At 37.9% G+C, this 26,785-nt stretch overlaps 1 protein-coding gene and 1 long non-coding RNA gene across 2 annotated transcripts in view; one reads left to right on the top strand and one right to left on the bottom strand.

Moving 5' to 3' along the window:
* Window positions 1-26,785, bottom strand: part of CPQ (carboxypeptidase Q) — a 498,260-nt gene that overhangs the window by 343,719 nt on the left and 127,756 nt on the right. Inside the window, exon 2 of the mRNA NM_016134.4 lies at window positions 14,453-14,919. Within this exon, the coding sequence (NP_057218.1) occupies window positions 14,453-14,885 (433 nt within the window). The 5' untranslated portion in view covers window positions 14,886-14,919. The remainder of the gene's footprint in view (window positions 1-14,452; window positions 14,920-26,785) is intronic.
* On the top strand, window positions 6,441-24,854 carry LOC124901985 (uncharacterized). The gene is made up of 3 exons (XR_007061019.1): window positions 6,441-6,476; window positions 7,924-8,241; window positions 24,629-24,854. It is a non-coding gene; the product is annotated as an uncharacterized LOC124901985 (long non-coding RNA).

Raw genomic sequence — 26,785 nt, 5'->3', positions numbered from 1 at the left:
GAACCTCCCAGAGCTTATCATTTGTAAAGTGGGAACAACCCCTATAGTCACAGACAAAATACATAAAAGAATCTGCACAATGACTAGACTAGAATATGATAAACACTTGATCAATGTAAATTCCTTGGCCCCCTACTTCCTCATTTCCATCCCTAATTTGATACAGAGAGAAGGAATTTGCAACCTCTGACACTTTGTAGTCAGATCCGTCAACTGATCCCATACCGCCAATTTTAAAGTATCATCTGTGGATACAGGCTGTCTAGAGCACTTCTGCTCATTCTGCAATTAGATATCAGACAAAGATTAAGCCCTAAAAAAAAAATACTGAAAATGCTGTTTCCTTGATGAGATCAAAAGAGGAGATGAGGTCATGTGCAAATAATTACTTATCTGATGATGGGACTTTGCAGGTAAATTAGCATCTCACTAACAAATGGACTGAACTTATTGGCTATAGAAAGCCTTCTTTTGCTAGATGTGCTTGAAGTATGCAGGAAGGCTATTTTAGGTTCCTATGAGACAAGAGTTTGGAAATAAGTTTAGGCTGTAGCTTCCCAGACTTTATCTGTGCTGCTTAAGTTTCCAGAAAGAATAGGCCATGGTGAACAACCTAATCACCATTTGATTGATGTTTATTTATCCTTCTCTTTCTCATCTGCTTTCACTGAGATGCCAACCAAAATTTCTTGTTATTTGGATATGACATGGACACAAAAGACCTATGAGAATCACACAGTGCTAAAATGAAGCTTGTTTTAGTATGAATGAGTTTTCAAATATCCTTTTTAAATTTGTGACCTTTCACAATCCACTCATGATTTAACATGCAGATATCTAATATGTATCTATGACATACCAGGCCCTGGGCCTAGTGCTACAGGAGATGGAAAGATAAATAAGGTGTGGCTTTTACCATGGAGAAGGTCAGTTTTTCAGAGGAGATAACCATGTGAACACTCAACTACAATAAAATCTGACCATTGTATAAAACAGACAGTGCTACAAAAGTAGAGATGAAAGAACAATTAAATTTATTTAGGTTGGGGTTCCAGAAAGACTTCAAAGAAAAAAATGAGTCTTTAAAAACTAGTATAAATTCTCCAAGCAGAGAGGGGTTGAGTTGGGTTAAGGTCAGGGTTAGGGTTAGGTTAGACAGAGGTCCAAGAAGCAGCTTTTAAGGCAAGGGGTACTCACATGTTGAGGGAAAGGCAAATAGACCCCATGTGGCTGAAGCACAAGGTGGTACTTACGGCCATGGAACTGCATCATATCACTTAAGGAGAATGTTTATAAACAAAAGATAGAAACCTTTGAAATGCCAGTCTTTAAGATGAGGTCTAGGGGCTGGGCATGGTGGCTTATGCTTGTAATCCCAGCACTTTGAGAGGCCAAGTCAGGAAGATCACTTGAGCTGGGAGTTCGAGTTCAAGACCAGCCTGGGCAACATAGTAAGACCTCATCTTTATTAAAAAAAATCGAAAAATTAGCCAGGTGTGGTGGCATGCACCTGTGGGCCCAGGTACTTGAGAGATGGAGATGGGAGGACTGCTTGAGCCTGGGAGGCTCAGGCTGCAGTGAACCATGATTGTGCTGCTGCACTCCAGCCTGGGCAACAGAGTAAGACCAGAAATATATATATATATGGCCTAGGAAAGAGAAGCATACAAAACAGATAAAGGGAAAGGGTATAAAAAATGAAGGAGAACCTACTTTAACTTTTTTTTTTTTTGAGATGGAGTCTTGCTCTGCCGCCCAGGCTGGAGTGCAGTGGCACAATCTAGGCTCACTGCAAACTCCACCTCCCAGGTTCAAGCAATTCTCCTGCCTTAGCCTCCTGAGTAGCTGGGACTACAGGCACCTGCCACAACGCCTGGCTAATTTTTTGTATTTTTAGTAGAGACTGGGTTTCACCACACTAGCCAGGATGGTCTTGATCTCCTGACCTCGTGATCCACCTGCCTCGGCCTCCCAAAGTGCTGGGATTACAGGTGTGAGCCACCGCACCTGGCAATTTTTGTAGTTTTTAGTAGTGAGGGAGTTTCACTACGTTGCTCGGGCTGGTCTCAAACTCCTAACCTCAGGTGATCCATCTGCCTCGGCCTCCCAAAGCACTGAGATTAAAAGCGTGAGCCACCGCACCCAGCCAAACCTACTTTAACTTATATGGCAAATGTGACAAACAGCCTAAAGCAATTTCCCTTCAATCCATCAGAATGCCCTTGGAGATACCTCCTTTCATGATTATGCTCTATATTCCTTTTTGTCCTATTAAATTCATTCTAATCCTATAACCACAGAGGACCACAATGCTATTGGTAGTGTTACTTGTACTATATAACCAATGGCAATCTGTTCTTGTTTATTTATGCAAAAAAGTCCATATCATATTGTTGATTAAGGGACATAATGAAAGGAGTATTGTGTTAGATATGGAGAGTTGGCATTCAACATCCATTCAAGGTCCTTCAAATGTGCTTTTCTGAGTCACAAAGACTGAACACCTAAGAACTACATTCCTGGGATTTTCTACAGTTAGGGTTCTAGAAGTAATTTAAGTGTCACCAATTTTTTGCACTTGAACAAGATCTGGAAAGCAGGAATTAGACAGAGACTGTTTTCTGCTGTTTCAGAGACAAGCACCATTGTGAAAATCTCTAGATTTTCTGTGGCAGTTTTCTGACAAAGGCCATTGCTTAATCTAGGAAAGGCAACAGGAATCATGGTAGCCTGGTTCTACAGAATTATTCTCAAATTCATTCCTGAGAAGCTCAATTTAAAATCTGCATCATTAGCTTACCCAGTGATTCTGTAAACCATTTAAAATCCTGTAAGATATTCATAGCTGGTTAAACCAGTTAGAGGAGATGCTAATCTCCACAGCTCAACATTAACTATCCAGTCAACTCTGCACATTGAGCTCAATCTAGTGCTCTTTACCTGTCCTTCCTCTCACTCCTATATTATTCCCAAAAGGAAAAGTCATAAGGTACACACAGTTTGACATAAACCAGCAGAAGTACCAATCCATATACACAGCTCAAAAATCCAAGTCTAGCTACACTGAGACCTTAAGTTTGCTGGTACATATTCAAAAGCATGGCATTCACCAATCTTCGAATAATGACACTGATGTTCCAAAGTATGTGTAAGCTAACCTAAAGAACTGTTCCTTAGAGCACTTTGATAGGGGAGAGGGAGTGGAAATTAGTCAACTTTGCTATTTTGCAGTCTATTAACTACATTCTAAGTCATCCTCAAAATACAGAAAGAAATATGCTTTTAAGAAAAAATGAAAAAGAAGGTGATATATCAATGCAAACCATCTTAATATCTTTTAAAACACTCAATTTGAATAAAATAGGACAATCAATTACAATTGATTTATTAAAATAATTCATTAATAATGAATTATTATTCATCAATTAGAATATCATTAAAGCACCAGTAGAAAAATAGGCAAGAGATATGCTCAAATAATTTAAAGAAGAAAAATATGCTTCCAGTAAACATATGAAAATATTAACTTGAACAATAAGCAAAGGTATGCAAAGTAAAATAATAGGGAAATATCACTTTTGGTTCATCAAATTGGCAAAGATTAGGAAAAAATACCCATGCAGGTGAAGGTGCAGGGTTTTGAAGATACACTGCTAATAAGAGAATAGGTGTGTACAATCTGGAAAACAATTTAACAAAATATATCAAGAATATAAATGTATCAATATGTACATTAATAATTTAAAGTAATTAAAATATATATTTACGTTGTATCATTAAAATGTACATTATATATAATGTTTACATATCTATTGTGTTAACATTTTTAAACAACTAAAACCACTAAAAAATAAAACAGCTTCTAAGAACTTTATTGGCATTTTTTACATCTATACAAGCAGTTTCAAAACTAATTGTTTCTACTCTCCTACAACTTCCTAGAATATACCAATGATTCCTCCTTTATATGTCATTTATTAAAAACATAAAATTTCCTTTAAAAGTCTATACTTCTTTCTACATTAAAAGATTTTATACCCATGCTATTTAAAAGAAGAGAAAAAAATAAGAAAATAATCTAGTTTCCAATAACAAGGCATTATATTAATTATTGCATATTTAAATTTGGTAGCCATTAAAACTTATTTAAAAAGATATTTACTAGTATGTGGTAAATGTTCATGATATATAAGATAAAAGGACACAAACTATATGCAGTGTGAACACAAGTTTATAAAATAAAATACATATGCATATAGAAATATCAAAAGGAAAAATAGAAATGATAGCAATGACTCTCTAGAGGAAAATATCATAGGTGATTATATGGTTTGGCTGTGTCCCCACCCAAATTTCATCTTGAATTTCCATGTGTTGTGGGAGGGATCTGGTGAGAGGTAATTGAATCATGGGGGCAGGGCTTCCTGTGCTCTTCTGGTGGTAGTGAAAAAGTCTCACAAGATCTCATCGTTTTAAAAGGGGGAATTTCCTGCACAAGTTCTCTTCTCTTGTCTGCCACCGTGTGAGAAATGCCTTTCACCTTCCACCATGATTGTGAGACTTCCCCAGCCATGTGGAACTGTAAGTCTAGTAAATCTCTTTCTTTTGTAAATTGCCCAGTTTTGGGTATGTCTTCATCAGAAGCACAAAAATGGACTAATACAGTAAATTGGTACCAGTAGACTGGGGCGCTGCTGAAAAGATACCCAAAAATGTGGAAGCAACTTTGGAACTGGGTAACAGGCAGAGGTTGGAATAGTATGAAGGGCTCAGAAGAAGACAGGAAAATGTGGGAAAGTGTGGAACTCCCTGGAGACTTGTTGAAATGGCTTTGACCAAAATGCTCATAATAATATGGACAATGAAGTGCAGGCTGAGGTGTTCTCAGATGGAGATGAGGAACTTGTTGGGAAATGGAGCAAAGGTGATTCTTGCTGTGTTTTAGCAAAGAGAGTGGTGGCATTTTACCCCCACCCTAGCAATTTGTGGAACTTTGAACTTGAGAGAGATGATTTAGGGTATCTGGCAGAAGAAATTTCTAAGCAGCAAAGCATTCAAGATGTGACTTGGGTGCTGTTAAAGGCATTCAGTTTTATAAGGGAAGCAGAGCATAAAAGTTCGGAAAATTTGCAGCCTGACAATGTGATAGTAAAGAGAATCCCATTTTCTGAGGAGAAATCCAAGCTGGCTGAAGAAATTTGCATAAATAATGAGGAGCTGAATGTTAATCCCCAAGACAATGGGGAAAATGTCTCCAGGGCATGTCAGAGGTCTTCAGGCAGCTCCTCCCATTACAGGCCTGAAGGCCTAGGAGGAAAAAGTGGTTTCATGGGCTGGGCCCAGGATCCTCATACTGTGTGCCATCTAGGGAATTGGTGACCTGCGTTCCAGTCGCTCTAGTTGTGGCTGAAAGGGGCCAATGTAGAATCTGAACCACGGCTTCAGAGGGCACAAGCCTCACGCCTTGGCATCTTCCACATGATGTTGAGCCTGCCAGTGCACAGGAGTCAAGAATTGGGGTTTGGGAACCTCCACCTAGATTTCAGAGGATGTATGGAAACATCTGGATGTCCAGGTAGAAGTTTGCTGTAGGGGCATTGCTCTCATGGAGAACCTCCCCTAGGGCAGTGCAGAAGGGAAAAGTAGGATCAGAGCCCCCACACAGAGTCCCTACTGTGGCACCACGTAGTGGAGCTGTGAGAAGAGGGCCACTGTCCTCAAGACCCCAGAATGATAGATCCACCAACAGCTTGCACCGTGCACCTGGAAAAACTGCAGACACTCAAGACCAGCCCATGAAAGCAGCCTGGAAGGATGGAGCTGCCCAAGACCGTGGCAACCCACATTTTGCATTGGCATGACCTAGATGTGAGACATGGAGTTAAAGGAGATCATTTTGAAGCTTTAAGATTTGGCTGCCCTGCTGGATTTTGGACTTGCATGGGACCTGTAGCCCCTTTGTTTTGGCCAATTTCTCCCACAAGGAATGGCTGTATTTACCCAATGCCTGTACCCCCATTGTATCTAGGAAGTAACTAGCTTGCTTTTGATTTTGCAGGCTTATAAGTGGACAGGACTTGCCTTGTCTCGGATGAGACTTTGGACTGTGGACTTTTGAGTTAATGCTGAAATGAGTTAAGATTTTGGCAAACTGTTGGGAAAGCATGATTGGTTTTGAAATGTGAGGACATAGATTTTGGAGGGGCCAAGTCAGAATGATATAGTTTGACTATGTCCCAACCCAACTCTGATCTTGAATTTCCACATGTTGTGGGAAGGACCCAGTGGGAGGTAATTGAATCATGGGGGCAGGTCCTTCCCATGCTGTTCTCATGATAGTGAATAAGTCTCACAAGATCTCATGGTTTTAAAAAGGGGAGTTCCCTGCACAAGCTCTCTTCTCTTGTCTGCCACCATGTGAGATATGCCTTTCACTTTCTGCCACGATTGTGAGGCCTCTCAAGCCACGTGGAACTGTAAGTCTAATAAACCTCTTTCTTTTGTAAATTGCCCAGTCTTGGGTATGTCTTTATAAGCAGCGTGAAAATGGACCAATACAGGTGATTTTTATTATTTTTATATTTATGTACATGCTTTCTATAATAAGCAAGTATTAATTTTATAATCAGGGAAATTCTGAGTAAATGATGATGGCTCAACAGTATCATCATTCATTATGTATATGGCTTGGCTGTGTCCCACCCAAATCTTATTGAGGGACTCAGTGGGATGTAACTGAATCATGGGGGGCAGTAACCCCCATGCTGTTCTTGTGATAGTGAGTGAATTCTCACAAGATCTGATGGTTGTATAACCATCTTTCCCCTTCGCTTGCCACTCATTCTCTCCTTCCGCCCTGTGAAGGAGTGTCTTCCGCCATGATTGTAACTTTCCTGAGGCCTCCCCAGCCATGTGGAACTGTGATTCAATTAAACCTCTTTCGTCTATAAATTATCCTGTCTTAGTATTACTTCATAGCAGCATGAGAACAGACTAATACAATGTAGAAGAAGGCCTTATTTTAGTACAAGTGAATAATACCCCAAGGAAAGAACTACCTTAAAAATCCACTGTTTCTCAAATAAATGAGTAAACTAAATGAGTAACTATTTACTGAGTATGATGCTAGATGTTGAGAATATAGAAATGGATAAGACTCAGTCCAGGCCGCCAGGAGCCCCCTAACTAATATAAAACATACAATAAAACATAACATAATATGGCATACAAACATAATAAAACATACACCAAACATAATAAAAACATACAATCCTAAAATTTTAAGAAAGCCCTGTATTTCGGTAGAGATGTCAGTCTCCAATGAGGATTAATAAATACTCAATGACCTGCTGTGTTGGGCTCAGAGACCATAAACCATGAAGACCCAGAGTTATGTCTGCTGGGAAAGAACCGCATAGTCTGCCCAAGTTCCTCTTTCTTGAACATATGTCAGCCTGTCCCAGATGTGACTGTTGATTCTCATTCTTTTACTTGGTCCATTCAAATCTGATGTATGCTATGTTATCTCAGGACTGATTGGAGATTGTGCTTTCTCCTGTCTTGTAAGTTTGTCCTTCATCTCTTCGGACTTGGCCTGCTTGTATATCTGCCTTCTTCAAACTCTCCACAGATAACTTGCAGAGCTCTCAATCCTGCCATGTGAATAAACTAACATACCTACTGTAATACTGAAGTTGAGAAGAGTGCATAAACTAACATACATACTGTAATATTCAAGTCTAGAATTAAAAAGTTAAAAAATCTGGTTAAACAAAGAATCTACTCCATCACATATAGTTGGCAGAATCCAGCTCCTGTAAATTCTAGCTTCAGTGATCCCTTATGGAGTCTCATAAAAATTACCCTTTCCAATCTAGAGGAGACCTTACAGATTCAACATTCCAACCATCTCTCATTTCACAGGTCACGAAATCAAGGCCATGATGATTAAATGGCAACCAAGGTCACACAACTAGTTAGTGGTAAGCCAAAGTGAGAAGACAGGTTTCCTGAGAGAGAGGCTAGAAGATAAGCTCTGCACCACTCTGCCTGGATTAGAGATCCTGTTACGCCAACTTTACACTGTCTCCTGTGGGACTTTTCCACACCTGGTCCAGCCTAACTCTCCAGTCTCTTCAGAGCTTAAAATAGTCCAGTTGCCAGACAACTGTTTATCTACTTTGAGCCCCATGGAACGAGGAGTGGGGTGAAAGTGAGTCTTGGAAAACAGAATAGATTCCGGTGAGTAAAATTCATATCCTCTGGGTTTTGAAGGTCTCAGGAGCAATCAGTAACTTGGCTTAGTTTTCAATACCAGGCAGGTAGCCAGGAAAGAGGAGGCCCAGTTGTAGAATCAGAAATGACAATGAGAAAGAAATGGGAATAAGAAAACTTTCTTTAAAAAAACACACAAAAACCAATATATTCTGCTGTCACAGTACAGGTATCAACGGCTTTTGAAACAGATCTGCTTCAGCTAGATGGCTAAAAATAGTAATCTTATAAATGAAACAACATTAAAATATTTGTATGTGAGGCAATATAGTCTAATGACTAAAAGCACAAACTCTGGAGTTTGACAGTTGTTCATGCCCAAACAAGGCCTCTTACCAGTTGTGCAACCCTTGGTAAATTACATAACCTCTTGGAGTCTGGTTCTCTCATCTGGGAAAAAAAGTGCTAATCCTTTTCAGATAACTGGACAATTGAGAGAGCTTAAAAAGGAGGATTTAAGTTGGTGTCTAACATAGATTAGCATTTAACAGAAGGCAACTGAAGAAAACTGACTAACACTATAGAACCCAAGCTAAGGAGCTCCCTAATACCTTGGAGAATTCTACCACCTATTCATGCAGCCTTAGAGAGATCAAAACTGGCTATCCCAGTGATTCTTCCAGCATGGCAGCATGAGTAACTCAGCAGATCTTCACCCCACAAAATATTTAGTGGGAAAAATTATTTAAAAAATAATTTAATGTCTCTCAAAACTCCCCTAAGGGCATACAGCAAAGGACAACATTCATCCAAGAAAATTTACCAAGTCTTGATGAGAACAGTAAGAGTCTGTGGCATCTGGGTCATGATCTGCTTTCCTCTCCCACCCCCAGCCCCATGTTACAGAAACTCTACTACAGGTACCGTATTCTGACCAAGTGCAGACAAGAACGTAAGAGCTTTCTCTCCACCCAATTCTCAGTTTAGGGCTACAGTTTCACCTTTGGAAGGACAGACTACCAGTGTTTCTCATTCCCCAACCCCATTACCTTGTGGTAGAACCTCTGTTCTAGTCAAGCAATGCCAAGAGAACTGAGGTGCCATTCCTCTACCCAAGTCCTACTCATAGGGTGGAAACTCTACCCTAAGTAGCCATCAAGAATACTAAGACTCTGATCACCCCTTTCTCAGCTCACTCATAGGAGGTGGTCCCATACTGGAAGCTGCAAGCCAACAAGGCTGAGAACTACCTCCTCCCTTCTTATCATCCACTAGGGATATCATTCTGGGTGACACTGGGAGGTGCCACTATCACTGCATCTAGCTCCCTTGCAGTAGCACGAATGTTCTCCTGGGGGAAGAGAGAAGCCATAAGGATGAAGAGCTCCATAGTTCTTATTGATGTTAGTGACTTCATTTAGTGCAGAGAACGGAGAATTCCCTACTTAAGGGTGTTGCTGAAAATAATGGAGAGCTTGGTGAAGAACAATTAAGGGGGTGCTGGTAGCTTCACGATACTGCTAGCAACAAGCAAAATGGCAGAACAACCATAGCTTTAACAGAAAGAACCAAGGAAAGAAACAACCAAGAAGGGCCTTCCTGGGATCCCAGTAAACCCTGGGGGTTGAAAAGCTACACACATGTCCTAGGTCATACCTACTCAGGAACAATCAAAACAACACATGGGTCAGACTTGAAAACATTTCCCAAGCTGCACACAGATCCGTCAACAAAGGGCAGAAATCTCACTCACTCAAGGTGTTTAAGGACAACCTCTGAGCAAACACTGGCTAAAAAATAAGCTATTCTGACCCTGGAGAAAATACTATTAAGCCACGCTTAAAAATAAAATTATTTGCATTCTGGTAATCTGGAAGGCTGTGTGCATGCTCAAGGCCGCACCCTCTCAGAAGTGATTAGAAAAGGAACTTCCAAGGCATTTGGCCTTGGCCAAAGTTGGGGGAAAAAACAAACTTCTTAAGTTGTAATAACAGACTCCAAGCCATAAAAACATCAAATGGCAAAGAGTAAAAATATAACTGTCTAAAGGAACCTAAGCATAACCTTTGACCAATAAGTGGCTTATGCAGACCTACGGGTGACTCATAGGGAACCCAGCCAAAAGAAAAACAAAAAATAAAACAGAAAAACAATCTAAACAGGAACATCAGAAGCTGAACAGTGTAGGAGAAATAGACATCACAGAGTTAGTACAGTCAAGCGATTAAACAAATGAATGACCAGGTAAATGGATGGGGGAAAGGGAGGAAGACAAGTCAGCATCCAGAGTTGCCATAAAATATTATTTTAAATTATTATTTTAAATATTCAGGTTTTCTGTTTTTAAAACTATGGCATAAAAAGATACAATAAAGTACAACCCATACACATGAAAAAAAAGAAGTAGGCAGTAGAAACTGTCTTTTAGGGGGCCCAGATGTAGGATATAGCAAACACTTCAAAGAAGCTATTATTGAAATATTCAAGGAACTAAAAGAAACCATACTTAAAGAACTAAAGGCAGATATGATGACAACATCTCATCAAATAAAAAATATCAATAAAGACACAGAAATTATTTTTTAAAAAGACCAAAGAGAAGTTCTGGAGTTTAAATGTATAGTAACTAAAAAGACAAATTCAGTATAGAGGCTCAATAGTAGCTTTAAGCTAATAGAAGAAAGAATCAGTAAGCTTGATGACAGATTGATAGAGGTCATACAATCTGAAGAACAAAGAAAATAAAGAATAAAGAAAAATGAGCAGAGCATAAGAGAAATATGGGACATCATTAAATCACCAACACACTGTAAATGGAAGTACCAGAAGGAGAGGAAAAAGAAAAAAAGGAAGAAAAAGAATTTGTGAAAATGATAGCTGAAAACTTCTCAAATTTGATGAAAAACTTCAATCTACACATGCAAGAAAATCAACAACCTCCAAGTAAGATGAGAATAAAGATATATATACCTAGATACATTAGAGTCAAAATAATAAAAATCAAAAGAAAAAGAAAACCTTGAAAGCAATAAAGAAGACATGACTCAGCACATACAAGGAAACCTCCAAAACTGTAACAGCTGACATCTCATCAAAACAATGGAGTCCAGGCCGGGCATGGTGGCTCAAGCCTGTAATCCCATCACTTTGGGAAGCCTAGGCAGGTGGATCACCTGAATCCAGGAGTTTGAGACAAGCCTGTCCAAAATGGTGAAACTGCATCTCTACTAAAAATACAAAAAATTAGCTGGGCATGGTGGTGTGCACCTGTAATCCCAGCTACTTGGGAGGCTGAGGCAGGAGAATCACTTGAACTGGGGAAATGGAGGTTGCAGTGAGCTGAGATTGTGCCATTGCACTCCAGCCTAGGCAACAAGAGTGAAACTCCATCTCAAAAAAAAAAAAGGAAGAAAGAAAAAGAAACAATGGAGTCCAGAAGGCAATGGGATCGATAATGTATTCAAAGTGCTGAAAATAAAAAAAAAAGAAAGAAAGAAAAGAAAAAAAGAAAAGAAAAACAAACCCCTCAACTAAGAATCTCATGTCTAGTAAAACTATCTTTCAAAACTGAAGGTTAAGCAAAGAGATAAAGATGAATAAAGGCTCAGAGAATTTGTTGCTAGAAAAATCTAAACAGTTGTTCTGCCCAAAAGCAAGTGACAGCAGTGATTTAGACCCCATCCTTACAAACATAAAAAAATTATAATAAGATACTATAAATAACTGTATACCAACAAATTACATGACTTAGATAAAACAGATACATTTCTCAAAAGACACAAACTACTAAAACTGACTCAAGAAGAAACTGAAAATCTGATTAGACAAGTAAAGAAACTGAATTAATAATTAAAAATCTTCCCACAAAGAAAAGCGTGAATGAGATTGCTTCACTGGTGAATTCTACCAGAAATTTAAAGAATTAATAGCAGTCAGTTGTAATCTCTTCCAAAGAATGGAAGGTGAGGTGACACTTTGCCACTGATTTCATGAGGCCAGTCTTACTCTGATACAAAAAAAAAAAAAAAAAAAAAAAAAAAAAAGACATTATAAGAAAATGAAACTACAAGCCAATATCCCTATGGATGTAAATGCAAAATATTAAGCAAAATACCACCAAACTGAATTCAGCACCATATAAAAAAGATTATGTATTGTAATCAAGTGGGGTTTATCCCAGTAATGCAAGGTTTGTTTAACATTTGAAAATCAATTAATGTAATGCACCGAATTAAAGGAGAAAGAATAGTCTTTTCAACAAATGAAGCTGAGACAACTGAATGACCACATTCAAAAGAAGAAAGCTGAAGCCTTATCTTATACCATATACAAAAATTAACACAATTAATTCACAGATATAAATGTAAGAATGGCAGCCATAAAATTCTTAGAAGAAAATATGAGATGAGAGTAAAGATATACATACCTAGATACATTACAGTAGTAGTAGTAAATGTTTGTGACCATGGTGTAGGCAATGGTTTGATATGATACCAAAAGCACAGGCAACAAAAGAAATAAAATAAATTAGTTGGACTAATCAAAAATTAAATATTTCTGTAGCAAATATTGCCATCAAAAAAAAAGAAAAGACAGTCCTCAGAATGGGAGAGAACATTAGTAAATCAAATATATGAAAAGGGACTTGTATATACAATACATTAAAAAAGCTTTTAAAACTCTATAATAAAAATCTCATAGTCCGATTAAAAACTGGGCAATGAATTTGGATACACATTTCTCCAAAGAAGATAAACAAATGGCGAGTAAGAACATGGAAGGATGCTCAACATCACTTGTCATTAGGGAAATGCAAATCAAAACCACAATGAGATACCACTCCACACCCACTAGAATAGCTATAACCAAGAAGACAGATAATAACAAGTGTTGGCAAGCATATGGAAAAATTATAATACATTGTCAGTGGGTACATAAAACTGTGCAGCCACTTCAGAAAACAGTTTGGCAATACCTCATAAAGTTAAACATAGAGCTGGTATATGACCCAGCAATTCTACTTCTTGGTATATGCCCAAGAGAAATGAAAACAAATGTTCACATGAAAAACTTGTGCATGAATGTTCATAGCAGCACTATTCATAATATCTAAAAGGTGAAAACAATCTCAATGTCCATCAACTGATGCATGGATAAATAAAAATGTGGTACATCCATAAAATGGAATATTATTGAGCAATAAAAAGAATGAAATACTGAAACATGTGACAACATAGATGAACCTGGAAAACAGTATGCTACATGAAAAAAAGAATTCATGAAAGATCACATAATTTATTATTCCATTCATGTAAAATGCCCAGAATAAGCAAATCCATAAAGACAGAAAGCAGATTAGTGGTTTCCTAGGGCTGGGATATAGGTAGACTGGAGAATGACAGCTAATAGTCACAGAGTTTCTTTTTGTGGTGATGAAGATGTTCTATAATTAGATTGTGGTGGCTGCACAACTCTGTGAATATATTAAAAATCGCTTGTACATTCTAAATGCATGAACATCATAGTATGTGAATTATATCTCAATAAATAATGTTTTAAACTGACAATGTACTTCACTAGGCCTTTCTCTTGGCATTCAAAAAAGTCAAAAGAATAGAAACTCGTTCTTCTGCCACCGGAAATTAGCCCATGGATATATTCAAGGCTAACTGATAGCTCCCTGATGACTGGCTATACATCCCTGATCTGGGCATTTACTGTATATTATCTGATAAAGCTGATCCAGGGTGCTTATAAGTAAAGGTAGAACTCAACCTTGGATAATTCCTTGCAGGAGAAGCCTCAGTTCTATAAAAATAATTAAATCAATTCAGAGTGCAAAGTTCTATTCTCTATTTCATTAATTCTAAAAAATTATTCACACTGAGGCCACTTGGAAGAAGTCATCGTTTTTGTATCCTGTTTATGTATATTTCAATTATCTATAGAACCATGCTAATGTTTAACTAGATAGCAATTACAAAGTGATAGGGCTGGTAAGTATCATGGACCAGTAGCTACAGATTCTACATTTAAAAAGCGATCCAACATGATCAGTTCCCTTTCACAAAAGAAACAGAAGTAAAAAATGGGAGGACAAAAAAGGGTAGAGAACTCATTAAGCCAATGGAATAGGAAATTATCCAAATTATAATATGAATCATGCATATTGTACTCAATTACACCAAGGGACATTAGTTTTATAAAATACAAATCAAACTGAAAAGACAAACAATACCTTCTGGAGGAGTCCCAATGCTGCTGCCAAGACCCAGGATGGCTATCTTATGAATTCTTGGCTCCAGCATCACAGCTGATTCTTCTCCCCTCTCCCAGTGGGGTATTCTCACTGGCTCCAGGTGAACTTTCTCCAGCCCATCTTGCTGCAGGTTTTGGTACATAATTTGGATGGCTTTTTCTAGGTTCTTGGAGCCACTCAGTCTGGGTCCAACAGTATCAACCAGAAGTGCCAATCGCTCATAGGATCTGTTCTGGGCTTTACCATAAACAGCTAGGTTGATGATTGCTTTAGCAACATCTCCACAGCTGGCTATTTCTTCTTTTATTTCTTCAAAAGTCCTCTTAGAGATGCCATTCTTGCATATAGCTTTCCCAGAGCACAGGGATAAAAGGTGAACACCACCGAAAAATGCGAAGATAAGGAATTTCATTTTTTTTTCCAGTTGGTTTTCTTGTTAAGATAATCTACATAAATAAGAAACATTATGTTTTAGGGGAAAAGAATCTCACAGCTATCTGCCCATAACCCAGGGATTGCTTTTCAAGCAGCATTCCCCTTCCCTTCCCAACCACTGCCCAACATCCACCATCAAATTCAGGCACTGTTACTCTGAGGAATGAACAAGTAAAGAGGCAACGATTGACCTCCCTTAAAACTGTAGAATCACGTGTTACCTATTAATCCTGTTTAAAATATGCTAAAAGGATAAATCAAGAAAAGAGCTGGGAAGGAGAGAAAGAAGTGGTGGTAGCAGTGATAGGGCTAAGTCAGTGTTACCTGCTGTATAGTCTCCTAAATAGAGTATAATCCAAATGGGTGTCCTTGCTCCCTCCACCAGGTGTGTTCTCTCCTCTTTGCCTGTCAGACTCCTCCATTGAGGCCTTCTCAGCTGTCATCTGTTTTTGATAATTTTACCAACCCCCCCCCCACCTCAGAACAATAATTGCTTCTTCATCTGTGCTTGAAAAGTACTTTATGCTTATGTTCAAAAGGTATTTATTGGAAGCCACTAGATGCCACAAACTGTGGTATGTTTTTAAAAGGAAAAAGTCTAAGCTACTGCAAAAAGCAGAGAATTAATAAAAAGACTGGGCTTTGTTACCAATTAACTGTTTGATATCCACCACCTACATAATAAATAATAATAACAATAACAGGAAGCATTTATATAGTGCATGCTGTGTGTCAGACCTTGTACTAAGTATGCTACACTCATTAATGCATTTAATCCTCACAACAACTCTATAAGGTAGTTTATTATTACCTTTATTTTACAAATGAGGAAACTGAGGCACCAAGCGATTAAGCAGTTTGCCAAAGATACACAAAGGCTTTCTAGCTCTAGAGTCCATGCTTTAAACAGTGCTACTCAAAGCATGGGTTTGTGGGCCATACCAGTCCACAAACTGTTTTTTACTAATGCACAATAGGTAAATACAGAGATTATGAGTAAATGTATTCAATGCTGTCCAATATAGTAATCAATTGTCTCATATGGTCACTTCAATTTAAATTAACTAAAATTAAATTAAACTAAAGATTTATTTTCTCAGTCACACTAGCCACATTTCAAGTACTCAATAGATACGTGTGGCTAGTGGCTATTATATTAAGCAGCACAGACAGAACATTCCTATCATGACAGAAAGTTCTATTGGATAGCACTGGTTTAGACACTTTTTTATAAACTATATGTCTGCTATTGTTTGAATGTTTGTCCCCTTCAAAACTCATGTTGAAATGTAATTGCGCTTGTGACGGTATTATAAGGTTGGACTTTCAAAATGTATTCAGGACATGAGGGCTCCACCTTTATGAATAAACTAATGTTTATTGCAGGAAGGGGTTTGTGTCTCCTTTGATCTCTCTCATCCCCTCTTTGCCCTTCTTCTGTGCGATGCCTTCTGCCATGTTATGATGTGGCAAGAAGACCCTCACCAGATGTGGCCCCTCATTCTTGGACTGTTTAGCCTGCAGAACCACGAGCTAATAAATTTTCATTCTTTATAAATTACTCCGTCTGTGGTATTCTGTTAAAGCAGCACACACACACACACACACACACACTCACACAACTAAGACAAAAATTGGTACCAGAGAGGTGGGTTGTTATAACAAATACCCGAAAAATGTGAACGCAGCTTTGAAATTGGGTAACGGGGAGAGGCCGGAAGAATTTGGAAGAGCAGCCTAGGAAAAGCCTAGATTACAATGAATGCAGTATTAAGGGAAGTTCTGGAAAGGGCTCAGAAGAGCAGATGAGCCAGAGAGAAAGTCGGGAACTTCTTAGAGATTACTTGAGTGATTCTTCTTAGAGATTCATGACCAGAATGCTGACAGAAATATGGACAGTACAGGCAATTCTGATGAGGTCTCAGATGGAAATGAAGAACAACGTATTGGAAACTGTAGTAAAGGCTATCCTTGTTATTAAGTGGCAAAAAACTTGGCTAAAGTGTGTCCATGCCTGAGGGCTTTAACAGAAGGCAGAATTTAAGAGTGATAAACTAGAATATCTGATGGAAGAAATTTCTAAGCAAAATACTGAAGGAGCTGTGTGGCTTCTTTTAAATGTATATAATAGAATGTGAGGGGAAAGAAATAATTTAAAGACAGTATTCATAATTTAAGGGGAAATAGAACATAAAAATTATGAAAATTCACAGCCTGGCCATGTAAAGAATAAAAATGTGTGCTTAGGAGTGCAAACAAAAGATGTGGCCACACAACCATTTGCTAGAAAGGTTTGTATGGCTAGTAAAGAGCCAGGTGCTATTCATCAAGACAATAAGAAAATGACCGCAAAGGCACTTCAGGGATCTCTGAGGCAAGCTAGAATCTTGAGGGCAAAGTTTCCAAAGAGGCACCCAGGGGACCTCAGAATTAACTGCCCTGCACCTCACCTACCCAAATGTCTGTTCCCCACATTCTGGTGCAGTGCCCTTAAGCTGCTCCAGCCATAGCTTGAGCAGGCACATGTGCAGCTAAGGCCTCTGCTCCTGAGTGCACAAGCAGTAAGTCCTGGTGGTATCCACACGGTGCCAATTCTGCAGGCACACAGAGTTCACAAGCTGTGGAGGCATGGCTACCTTCACCTAGATTTTAAAGAATGTATCAGACAGCCTGGGGATCCAGGTAGAAATCTGCTGCAGGAGCAGAGCTGCCACAAACAGTCCCCACTAAAGCAATGTCTAGTGAAGCTGCAGGGGCAGAACCACACCTGAGACTCCTGAACTGTAGATACCAGCACACAAAGCCAGCCCAGGAGAGCTGTAAGCATAAGACTCCAACGTTCCAGCAAAGCCATAGGTGCAGGGCTCTCCAAGTCCTTGGGGGCTCAACCCCTTCCCCAGTGTGTCCAGGAAGCAGGGCAGCATGGAGTCAAAGAAAATTATTTCTGAGGCTTAAGATTTACTGTTGTTGTCCCCATTGGGTTTTGGACTTACTTGGAACCAGTTACCCCTTCCTTGCCTATTTATCCATTTTGGAATGGGAATGTCTATCCTATACCTGTCCCACCATTGTATTGTGGAAATAGATAACTTGTATAATTTCACAGGCTCACAGCTAGAGGGGAATTTGCCTCAGAATGAATTGTGTTATGTCTCACCCATATCTGATTTAGACAAGACTTCGGACTTTTGAGTTGGTGCTGGAAGGAATTAAGACTTTGGAGCTATTGGGATGAAATAAATGTGTTTTGTATGTAAGAAAAACATGACAGGAGGAATACTATGGGTTTAACTTTTGTCCCTCCAAATTCATGTTGAAATTTAATTGCCTTTGTAATGGTCTTGGAAGGTAGGACCTTTAAGAGATGTTTAGATCATGATGGATTTGCCCTCGTGAATGGACAAATGCCTTTATTGAGGGAATGGGTTATTTATCATGGGAGTGAGTTTACCCCCTCTTGCTTTTTCTCTCTCCCTCTCTTGCCCTTCCACTATGTGATGCCTTTTGCAAAGTTTTGATGCAGCTAAAAGGCCCTCACCAGATGTGGCCCCTCAATCTTGGACTTTCTAGGCTCTAGAATTGTAAACCAATTAATTTCTGTTAGTTATAAACTATCCAGTCCATGGTATTCCGTTATAGCAGCACAAAATAGACTAAGACAACATCTTGTCAACTTTAATGATTAAAAAATGGTGCTTCTCTTTGTATGTCTTTTTACTTTCACCTTTCTAATTTATTATTATTTTGCGAAAGCATTAGTCTATAACAAATGCAAAATTTTCAAAATTGTTCCTTCACCACAGATAATATGAGAAGCACAATCATAAACTACTAAATTATAAGAAAAAATTCTAAAATAAGCCAGCATGCAGAGCCTTTAAAAATATGACTCCAACAACTACTTCAACCTTATCTAACCTCCTCCCCCTCTAGAGCACACAGATTTTCATTCTCACTCTCTTTCTCTCTCCGACACACACATACATATACATGCATTGCTAAGCTTCTATATATTGAGCCCTTGAAATGTGTTGAGTCCAAACTGAGATGTCTTAGGCTGAGGGCAGTGGCTCATGCCTGTAATCCCAGCACTTTGGGAGACTGAGGCAGGAAGACCAGCCTGGGCAATATAGCAAGATCCAGTCCCTAAAAAAAAAAAAAAAAGTAAAGAAAAAGAAAGAAAGAAAAGAAAAGAAAGGAAGGAAGGAAGACAAATTGAAATGTTTTGTAAGTGTAAAATATTCACCTGATTTGATTTTAATGACTTAAGTTGAAAAATAAATAAATATTTCAGATAAATTGGGTTAAATAAAATGTGTTATTATTGATTTTACCTGTCTCTTTTTACTCTGTACTATGGCTATTAGAAAAATTTAAATTGCACATTTGTGTTCATATTTATATTGGACAATATTGCTCTAGCTGCATTGAACTTCACGCTGTTCTTCAAACGCACAGGCTCTTTCATAACTCTGGGTCTTTACATATGTTCATTCTCTTTTATTGAAAGACCCTTCTCCTCACCTCCTCCCCTTCATCTGGCAAATGCCTCCACTTACAGTTTAATGAAAATGCTTTAAAAACTACCTTTTCTGTAAAGGCTCACTAAACAACACCCCAGAGTTATTTGCACCATCTTCTGTGTTTCTACCATAATTAACTATGCTATCAGCTAATATGTTTGTTTATAAACCTGTCTCCCTTACTATCAAAGTCAAGTAGGGTAAATTATTCACCACTGCACCTTCAATTGTTATACTCAAATACAGGCACTCAATACATTTTTATTTAAGAAATAAATGAGCATTTAATCTCTCTAGGTCTTAGCTTCCCAGAGTATAAGAGTACTGGCCTTGCCTCCTTCACAACTAAGCTGTAAGAGTAAAAAGTTGCTATCATATTTAAACTATTTTGAAAAATTATGAAAACTATACACTGTTGCTGCTTCCCTTTTTATTACAACTATTTATATGCATAGGGTCCTGGTTTCTAAAGCCACTAAAGCCACTATACTGATACTTGTTTTTAAAAGCTAAATTTTGTTAACTAATAAAAAAATTTCACCAGATTGCAATTTATTCTTGAAAGTACATTTTTCCAATGTGTTGTTGGTGCAAAAAAAAGGTTCATAAGACATCTATTCATTAGCACTAACCACAAATATCTACTTCTCATTAAAAGTTCTCTAAGCATTCTGCAAACATTAATTAACTATTTCACAATACATTTCTAGTGATGGATTAGAATCATATAATGACACCATTGTAGAGATAAAAGAGAGCTTAGTGATCCCTAGTCCATATCCTTGCTTTATAGAAAGTTAATCAAGACCTGTGTTTTGATTCCCAGGCAGCAGATAAACCTGAAACTATAATCAACCAGGTAATTTGACTGACTGACTTACACAGACTTCCTGGAGGATTATAAATTGTGTTTTTTATAGGAAACTATATGCATTTACACGAAATAGAAACTCAAAGAGGAATACCCAAATGCAGTCTAAGAGGCAAATAACTGTAATAATATATATATACTCAAACATTCTCATGCATAGAGTACCATGAGAACAAAAAAAAGAATAAAAGGAATGCTGAAAAGCTCTAGAGAAGACATAACATCTGAAGACAGTCTTAGGAAATGGCTCAGCAGGCAGAGAAGAGGGAATGGTACCCTTTCTAGAGGGACCACCAGAACTTAGGTCACAGTCTATTTAAAAAATATGTCCAGAAAATAACATTGCCTAAGTCAGACATCCTTTTGCATGTATGTCACTCGTATTAATAAATAACATGCCTTTTTTTTTTTTTTTTTGGAGATGGAGTTTTACTCTTGTTCAGGCTGGAGTGCAATGGCACAATCTCAGCTCACTGCAATCTCCACCTTCTGGTTTCAAGCAATTCTCCTGCCTATGCCTCCCGAGAAGCTGAGATTACAGGTGCCTGTCACCATGCTCAGCTAATTTTTGTATTTTCAGTAGAGACAGCTTTTCACCATATTGGCCAGGCTGATCTCGATCTCCTGACCTTGTGATCCACCCCCATCAGCCTCCCAAAGTGCTGGGATTACAGGCGTGAGCCACCACACTTTGCCATAACATGCCATTTTTATAATAATACTTAATGTCTCCTTATATGGTCAATTAAATTAATTTTGATACTAAAATGATATAATCACTTTGAAACAGAAACTGAGTGTTATTCTAAATACCTTAACTAGACTGTATTTTCAAATTCCACAAACATAATAATGCTTATTTTTAAAAGTAGGTTAATTTAAAAGATATTCTTTTAACAAAGTTAGTTTTCCCTGAGTATATCGGTAGCACTTTAGAAGATTTACTAAGATTGAAGGCACAAAACAATGAGCTATATGAGAAATCACCTAGAACCTTCAACATAAGTGAACAATAAATAGGTGTTAGTTGACCCAAAACCTGGTTTTCCCTGGAATATAATCTAAAAATTACTGATGTAATTCCTGGCTGGAATGCATAATCATATATCTCTCTAACAGCACTACAGAATTTTATTATTATTGTTTTTAGATAGTTACATTAGGCCAACTAAGGTAGTTTTTCATTAATAAATAGTAGAATATTACTAATCGTCTATATTTGGAGAAGTAACAAAAATGGAACAAGATATTAATATATCACATTCCACTTAAGAAAACCAGCATAAGATATAATAGGTATTTTTAAAACACAGAAATCATAATCTGATATATAATTTATAAATTCTAAGCAAGAAATAGAAATGTATTATAAAATTAAAATAATGAAATATATAGACAGAATAAAACTTAATCAAGACCGGTATTCAAGGGCAACCTTAAAAAGTTCTTTCCTGGCCGGGCACGGTGGCTCACTCCTGTAATCCCAGCACTTTGGGAGTCCAAGGCATGCGGATCACAAAGTCAGGATATCGAGACCATCCTGGCTAACACGGTGAAACCCTGTCTCTACTAAAAATACAAAAAATTAGCTGGGCGTGGTGGAGGGCGCCTGTAGTCCCAGCTACTCGGAAGGCTGAGGCAGGAGAATGGTGTGAACCAGGGAGGCAGAGTTTGCAGTGAGTCCAGAAAAAAAAAAAAAAAAAAAAAAAAAAAAAAAAAATATATATATATATATATATATATATATATATATATATTTTCTAAGACACAGACTTAGGGTCACCATACATAGGAAAATTCATTCTAGACCTGGAGTCAGTTCAAAGGATGATGATCAAGGGCCATCAGTTTGTTGGCATGAAATGACCAAAAACACTTGTTTACTTCAGTGTGAAACTTTTAGGGAATAACCGTATAGGTAATAAGTAATGGCTTATTTGGAAATTTTGAGGAACTTCATATGTTGTCCTTGTGCTGATGTGGCAATGGATGAATTCTCTGTGCTAAGGAGACAGCGGGTAGTGAAGATCACAGGAATTCTCCCTCCTTCCCTTTCCCCTTCCATTTCTCCCTCCCATCCTTCCGTATGAGGGGTGGTAAGTTGTGTCTCCTGTTGCAGCACTCTAGGGCATTTTGCTCCATAAATGTTGGAGCTTCACAAAGTAGATGTTTTCAGGCAAACCTTGGGGAATACTTCCTTCCTATTGCTGCTGTACCTTCCACCATTTTCCCCTACTCATCATCTACCTACTTGTCATTTTCTCCATAGGCCACATATTGTAAAGCAGCCATGGGGATGAAAATAATGCTGCGAAAAACATCTGTGCCTATAAAAGATGCAATTCATTTACAAAGACACTCAAGATTTTCTTCCATTTAAAATCCCTGAAATACTAATAAACTAATTGAAAAAAAAACTCTACTGCTCTCTCAAGCAATTATAGGACTATTTGAAATGTCTAAACTTAAACTACACAACATTTTTTAGTGTTCCTTATTCTTATAAACAAAAGGTTGAAGTTATTGTTCCTTCACTTGAATTCAAAGTATGGAGTTATCAAATGTTATACCCTTCAAAATGTTAAACAACTATTTTTTTAAAAACCCATGCTGTATCATGCTTTTGAATTCAGAAGTTATATATTCAAAGGCAACTTTGGAGCACTGTTTGAAAAAGATTTGCTTTTCATATATTGTCTTCACAATCCATAGTTACAGATTATCTTTTTCACAAAAAAAGAGATAAAATTCTTTATAATGTCATTTTCTTTCTTTTCTACTTAAATCTGGAAGCAAACTCAAGCAAAACCTACATTTCTCATACTGTGAATTATATTCTAATAATAGGTTTATATTTCGAGGAAACAAAACAAAGCCCTTTGATTCTGTTTCTAAATATTTCTCCTAAAAATTATCATTCGAAAATGTCTCAGGCTATGATAAAAATGCCAGAGCGAATAGACAAACAGAAGTGGAAAAGAACACAGTGGAAAGAGAATGTGCTAAAAGATAGAGAGACTAAGATTTAAAGCCTGAGATTTATTGATCTTTTATTGTGACAGTTACTTTTTCTTCTATACTACTTACATGAAAACTTAAATATTTCCCCTAAACCCTCCATTCCTGAACAGGATTCACTGATATAAATTTAACCCTCAGTCTTCAGTCTAGAATGTGTAACAGACAGAAAGTCCAGAAGTGCTAAATCCTAGCACAGACACTGGCACACCAAAGTTCACTTCCCAACTTCTGACAATATTCCTGGATTTACGGTAGTTAGCCCTTTAAGTATCTTAAGGAAGATTTTTGCCTTTATTCAAAGCTCATATAATACTGGGTTTCCATTTCCCATAGCTTACATTCCAGTTATTTATTCAGTCATTCAAGAAAGCTTATTGAGAACTCACTATATGCAAGGAATTCTGCAAGAATTTGGGAAAAGATACAAACATAAGGAAAACCCAGTTCCTACTATTGGTAGACACTTAATTCCCTATTCAATATCCATTCCCCCTTTTCCTTGCTAACCAACCTCCATTTTGTTTGGAGTACAAAGTGTCCAGTCCCATTAATCTAAGCCAGTTGTTTTTAATATGGATGATGCTGCCCCTAGGGGCCATTTTGAATATGTGGGGGGAGCACTTTTACTTGTCACCATGGTATGGAGATTCTACTGGTAACTAGTTGGCAGAGGCCGGGGACACTAGACAGACAGCTATGTGGGGGACAATCTGTGTACTAAGAACTCTCCTACATTCCAAATAGCTTTCCAAATGTGAAAAACCTATTACCTTGGCCTTGAATGTAACTCTATTGTGTATACGAATACAAAATTGTTGTTGCACAGTTTTCATGCAAGTTGACTCTTTCAAGAAACAACTATCTTGTATATCAAGAGAAGACTATGCTGTGTTTTGTGCAGAACTTGACCCAAAATTGGTCATCTTTTAAGTAAAACACAAATGAATATGCTGCCTGTGGTACTGGAAACACCATTACCATACCCTTGTATCACTTGCATATGTTGCTGTCACATTCACCGTGCAAGAATCTGACTTCTTCATTATGTCTTCTAGTGCAGTCATGCCTTAGAATTCACATTTTGAAATAATTATAAATTATTTTCCTTTAATTGTTCCTTTATATTACAGTTAGGATAATATATTTATTTAAAAATGTACACAAGCAGATTGTCTATGATGTTTATTTCAGGATAATAAAGAAGGCATTACAAATTATTTGTTTTTAAAAAAGAGGAATTGTGTCTAATAGGATGGGAAAGTATGTATTTAAGTGAATTCAACAATTTTCTTCCCGCTCTTCCAGCCAACCTTCCAGCCAGAGGAGGCCTCGTGACCCAGTTCTACCCAAACAGACCCAAACAGAAGCACCTGACAAGAAAGTGGTTATGTTTCTAGAGCTGCATCAGCTATTTATAACCATGATGGCAAGTCCCAGAGAACTGGTCTTGCCATCACTGAGCAGTTGAACCAATACCAGCATCACCAACTTTCCTGTATATGAGAAAAATAAACTCTATTTCTTTTAGCCACTTAGTCAGATTTTCTGTGCCGTGTATCTGAATACATTTCCAACTTATAAACTACTTTTAAGTGCTTCTTGGGGATCCATAATTAAATATATTGTTTACACTACTTAACACCATAAGCAAGACCTATGACTATGCTGTGTTTAGGATCTCATGTATGGTTAACCTAGATTTCCCAAAGTACTTGAAATTCTAAATATCCAACACCAAACTCAGAATCTTCCTTTCCAAACTTGCTCTCCCTTTATTCCCCACCCTAGTCAATAAGTTAGAAATGACTGTGGGGTTTTTTCGGATTCTTCTTTTTCCCTCAGGAAGAACAGGTGAACACTTGCCAAACCCTGCCTGTAATTCTGCCTTCAAATTCTTTCTTGACTAACTTCCCTCCTCTTCACTCTTACCATCACTTCCCTAGCTCACAACCTCATTATCACTCATGTGACACATTTCTGCACACATCTCACTGCCTTAAACAGAGGTCCCTTTCCAACTCATCTTCCACATTGCCACCAGATTTATCTTAAGCCCAGATCAAAGGACACCTTGGCTTAAAACATCTGTTTCCCCACTATTTACTGTTCAGTATTATGGTTATGAATTTTGCTATGGTTTGAGATGGTGTCCCCTCCAAAATTCATGTTGAAACTTTTTTTTTTTTTTTGAGACTGAGTCTCGCTCTGTCACCCAGGCTGGAGTGCAATGGCACAGTCTTGGGTCACTGCAATCTCTGCCTCCTGGGTTCAAGCAATTCCCCTGTCTCAGTCTCCTGAGTAGCTGGGATTACAGGCATGCACCACTGTGCCCGGCTAATTTTTCTATTTTTAGTAGAGATGGGATTTTACCATGTTGGCAAGGCTGGTCTTGAACTCCTGACCTCAGGTGATCTGCCCACCTCGGCCTCCCAAAGTGCTGTGATTAGAGGTCTGAGCCATCATACCTGGCCCATGTTGAAATGTAATCCCCTGCAACAGTATTAAGAGGTGTGGCCTTTGGGAGATAATTAAGTCATGAGGGCTTTGTCCTCATGCCTGGGATTAACAGCCTTATAAAAAGGCTAGAAGTTGAAGGAAGCACTCTCTTGCTCTTCTGTCCCTTCCATGTGTGAGGATGTAGGATTCATCCCCTCCAAAGGATGCAGCCACAGGGTGCCATCCTAGAGGCTGAAAGCAGCCCTCATCAGACACCGAATGCTGGTGCCTTGATCTTAAACTTCCCAGACTGCAGAACTGTGAGAAAACAAATTTCTGTTCTTTGTAAATTACTCAGTCTCAGGTATTTTGTTATAGCAGCACAAACAAACTAATACTTTTCTAGTCTTCAAAATAATTCTTTGTTATTTCCCTACCTTTATATCGTATCCCCACCAGGCTGTTTAACAGTCTGTGAAGTTATAGACTTTCTTTATACTGGTCTGATTTTGTTCATACTGTTCCCTTTGTTGAAAGTTCCCTTTAATCCTTTCTCCATTTGGAGAAATCACAATCATGATGCAAGATTCAGCTCACTAGTCTCCAACTCCTAGGCAAAACTATTTCCTGCCTTTTCAATTGCACATTGTATGATACCATTTTTGTGTCTGTCACCCTGCTAGACTATATCACTTAATGGCGATAATATTTTACTTTTATAAAATTCACCAAGCATGTTCTCTACAACTAATTGTTTATTTGTCTTTGCATATTAAACAAATAGCACAATATCTATTAATATTTATAGAATACATGAATAAATTCATCAAACAAGTAGTTATATTTCACAATAGAAGTATACAGCTCTGATTCATCATTTTAACAATCACTTTTCCTGCAACAGACATTCATTTGCTCCTTTAAACTAGTCTATCCAGAATTTTCTTTTATAAAGGGAGTAAACAGACCTGGGACCTGGTCCTGGCTGTTCCTCTTTAGATGCATGACCTTGAACAATTTACTTGA

This window comes from Homo sapiens, chromosome 8, assembly GCF_000001405.40.
Source record: "Homo sapiens chromosome 8, GRCh38.p14 Primary Assembly".
Classification (NCBI taxonomy): Eukaryota; Metazoa; Chordata; class Mammalia; order Primates; family Hominidae; genus Homo; species Homo sapiens.
This window is presented reverse-complemented; position numbering and strand designations above follow the sequence as displayed.